This window comes from Homo sapiens, chromosome X, assembly GCF_000001405.40.
Source record: "Homo sapiens chromosome X, GRCh38.p14 Primary Assembly".
In the NCBI taxonomy this organism is placed as follows: Eukaryota; Metazoa; Chordata; class Mammalia; order Primates; family Hominidae; genus Homo; species Homo sapiens.
Genome location: NC_000023.11, coordinates 42,113,745 through 42,118,093, shown reverse-complemented (window position 1 = coordinate 42,118,093; position 4,349 = coordinate 42,113,745). Strand labels below are relative to the sequence as shown.

Here is a 4,349-nt window from a genome sequence, read left to right as displayed (position 1 = left end):
AGGAGAATCGCTTGAACACGGGAGGTGAGGTTGCAGTGAGCCAAGATTGTGCTATCGCACTCCAGCCTGGGGGACAAGAGCAAGACTTTGTCTCAAAAAAAAAACAGAAACAATAAGGGGAATAAAATCAACGTATTTGCCTACAGGTGAATTGGAAACTTGTGTATGGCAAAACACACCATAAACAACTTTAAAAGACAATAAAGAGACTGGGGAAAAGTATTTGCAATAAATATAACAGTCAAATATTGATATGCAGTATAAAGAACTCCTTCAAATTCACCAGAAGAAGAAAAACATCCCAATAGAAAAAAACTGCCAAAAGATAGAAAATGATCATTTAACAGCAGATAAAATATTTTAAAAATCAATACACATGTAAAAATATGTTCATCCTCACTGATAATTAGGGGAAAATAATTTTTATGAGATACCATTTTTTTCAACCTTAAGATTAGCAAAGTTAGACAACATCAAATGTTGACTGGGTTGTGGGGGAGACAGACACTCTCATCCTCTGCTTGTGGACAGTACTCTGCCAGGATCTATTGAAACTGAAAATGCACATCCACTCTGCAGCAGCAGTTTCACTTCCATGCATCTCTCTTAGAGAAACACCTGTACACATGGACAAGAAGATGTAGACGAGGATGCAGCATTGCTTGTACTATCAAAAAAAGGAAAAAATCTGAATGCCTATCACTGAATATACCACGTCAGTAGAAAGTGATATATACATGTGATAGAAAACAATAGAGTGGTGACATGTGTGAAACTATACATATATATCCACAGGGGGTTGGGGGAGAGAGAAAGATCTCAAAAATTCATGGCTGAGTAAAAAAGTTAGGAGAACAGTGCTTTTTAAATAGATTCACAAAAGTTAACTGAAAATAGACCATAGACCTAGATACAAAATGCAAAACTATAAAACTATTAGAAGATAACATAGGAGAAGTTCTAGACAATGTTGGGTGTGTGGGTATGGCAATGACTTAGATAACAGAAACTCATTAATTTGAATTTCATTACAATTTAAATGTTAGGAGGCTAATGCAAACATCTCCAGTGAGAGAAGATGGTGACTTGGTCTGAGATGGTAGTGATGGGATGCAGAGATGTAGAAGGACTGGGAAATCTGTCTTAGAAATAAAGTCAACAGGATTCTGATGACTATGTGTACATCTATGCAAAGAAGCTTGGAAATGGTCAGAAGCATATGCCCTGAGCAGCAACATCTCTGCTTGGGACCAGGGTGAGACAAGTGAGGCACTCAGCTTGGGCACAAAAGTTAACAGGGTGCCAAAATATTCAGTTATCAACATAGATAATATGTTAATGCATTATTATTTCTACAATCAAAATTAATGAAAAAATTTATGACAAAATATCAAAATGTTAAATAAAGATATTATCACTATGGCTAATTTTTCATTTTGCCTCAAGCTCCAGTGTGACTCGACACTGCACAGTTGCTAATCCTGTATTTAACATTTTGATATTTTGTTCATTGAGGACTTTTTTGCACCAATTTTGATTTTTTAAAGTATCATATTAAATACTATGTATCTTTTTTATTTTTTATTGATGCATAGTAGATGTACATACCTTCAGGGTACATGTGATAACTTAATACATTCATATAAATTGTAAAGATCAGATCAGTGTACTTGGGATATTCATCACCTTAAAAATTCATCCTTTCCTGATGCCAGAAACATTCAAATCATTCTCTTCTAGCTATTTTGAAATGTACAATAAATTATTGTAAACTGTATATAGACACCCTACTGATCTTTTGAATACTAGGTCTTATTCCTTCTGTGAAACTGTGTATTTGCACTTATTAATCAATTTCTTTTCATCCCCCCACCCCCACCTCTGGTAACCACCCATCTACTCTCTATCTGCATGAGATCCACTTTTTTTGGTTCCCACATATGAGTGAGAACATGCAATATCTGTCTTTCTGTGCCTGCCTTATTTCAATTAACATAATGACCTCCCCAGATACCATGTATCTTGATTCTTAAATGTTTTGGTACTTTCTTAAATTTTGCACCTGAGGCAAGTGCCTCACTTGCCATATGCTAGTTTTGGTTCTGCCAGAGCTACAGGGATGGAACAAGGATAGAGGAGGTAGTCCAAGGAACTTTATTTGTAATGTTCTAATTCTTAGGAGATTACACTCATATATTACTTGAGTAATCTTTAAATATATACACAGATGAAAGACAGGACTCAAATGTGTCAAAATGTCACCAGAGTTTATTCTGGGTAAAAAGGTGTAAGGGAAATGGTTCTTGGCATTACTGTACTTTCTGGGATTGTAATGGCCTTCAGTGCACCACCCAGATCTCTCTACAGGACAAGGCACAAGTTCTCCTAGCTGCTGGGAGCATTGGCTGCTGATGGCTCACAGCTGAGTGCCTCTTTAAGTCTTGCTCTCTACTGAAAAGAACAGTCCCATCCAAAGCTACTCCCCTTTCCTGGGGACAACCCTCAAGCAATCACTAGTCAACACAGGGATCCAGCTTCCTTTAGCTTGTCCCATTTTCCTTAATGTGAGACGTCTCTGAGGGGCCAGCCTAACTGCAGAGCTGCCAGTGGCATCACTGAGGCCACTGTTACAACTACACTGTAGCCCAGCATCTCCCTCTACCTAATGCTGATTCCCTCATCACTCACACCCCCTCAAAAAACCTCCTGCATGCAAATCTCCATCGCAGTGTCTGCTTTCAGGGAAACTATCCAAGGTATTTTCCAAAATTCCCAAAATCCAAAAATATAAGTGAATTCATGCACTCCAAACATGAGTGAATAGAATTTTTTACATTGGGAGTGAAGATTTTCAGAAGGATTTTCGATGGTATTAAGACTAAGTAAGAGGCCAGTGTTGATCTATCTCATTCAGTGAGTACCATGGTGAAAACAGGGTTAAACAGAGGCAAGGACTGCTATCAGTGGCTGTTAGTTTAGAGGGCAGCTGTGGATCCCATTTGACATGACCTAGAACAAAGGGCCCGGCATGTCTCTGAGTTTAGTGTTTGCAGGAGGGAAACTGTCATTTGTCCACAAGTATGGGTAAGAAGCTGGAAAGGGGTCAGCATTGCTCTACTCAATTTGAAAGACAGATTATCTTTTTAGCAGGAACAGCTGCCAATGTTAATTTTCAGTTAAATTAGATAGCCCACCTCAGTTGTCCACCTGTCAAAGAGAACTTCACGACTATTTGGAGACTGATACAAATCAAACCATATGATACGGTTTTGCTCTGTATCCCCACCTAAATCTTATTTTGAATTATAATCCCCAGGTGTCCAAGGAGGGACCTGGTGGGAGGTGATTGGATCATGGGGGATGGTTTCCCCCATGCTGTTCTCGTGATAGTGAGTGAGTTCTCACAAGAGCCGATGGCTTTAAAGTGTGGCACTTCCTCATCTGATCTCTCTTCTCTCTCTCCTGCTACCTTGTGAAGAAGGTGCCTGCTTCCCCTTTGACTTCCACTATGATTGTAAGTTTCCTGAGGCCTCCCCAGCCAGGCAGAACTGTGAGTCAATTAAACCTCTTTTGTTTAAAAACTACCCAGTCTCAGGTAGTATCTTTATAGCAGTGTGAAAATGGACTAATATAGAGAATTGGTACCGGGGAGTTTGGGGCACTGCTATAAAGATAACCCGAAAACGTGGAAGTGACTTTGGAACTGGGTAACAGACAGAGGTTGGAAGAGCATGGAGGACTCAGAAGAAGACAGGAAGATGTGGGAAGGTTTGGAACTCCCTAGAGACTTGTTGAATGGTTTTGACCAAAATGCTGATAGTGATATGGACAACGAAGTCCAGGTTGAGGTGTTCTCAGATGAAGATAAGGAACTTATTGGGAACTGGAGCAAAGGTCATTCATGCTACTCATGCTTTAGCAAAGAGACTGGCAGCATTTTGCCGCTGCCCTAGAGATCTGTGGAACTTTGAACTTGGGAGAGAAAATTTAGGGAATCTGGCAGAAGAAATTTCTAAGCAGCAAAACATTCAAGAGGTGATCTGGCTTTTCCTGAAAGCATACAAATTGGAACTTATATTTTAAAGGGAAGCAGAGCATAAAAGTGGAAAATTTGCAGCCTGACCATGAAGTATAAAAGAAAAACACATTTTCTGAGAAGAAACACAAGCTGGCTACAGAAATTTTCATAACTAATGAGGAGCCAAATGTTAACAGCCAAGACAATGGGCAAAATGTCTCCAGGGGCATGTCAGAGATCTTCAAGGCAGCCCCTCCCATCACAAGTCCCAGAGGCCCCAGGAAGGAAAAATGGTTTCATGGCCAGGTCCAGGGCCCTGATGCTCTGTGCA

General features: G+C 39.8%; 1 annotated feature.

Moving 5' to 3' along the window:
• Positions 540-619: a silencer, noted in NCBI's record as "silent region_20780". NCBI's record gives its function as "represses an Ori minimal core promoter by ATAC-STARR-seq in GM12878 lymphoblastoid cells {active_cell/tissue: GM12878}" and the evidence as "EXISTENCE:reporter gene assay evidence [ECO:0000049][PMID:35858748]".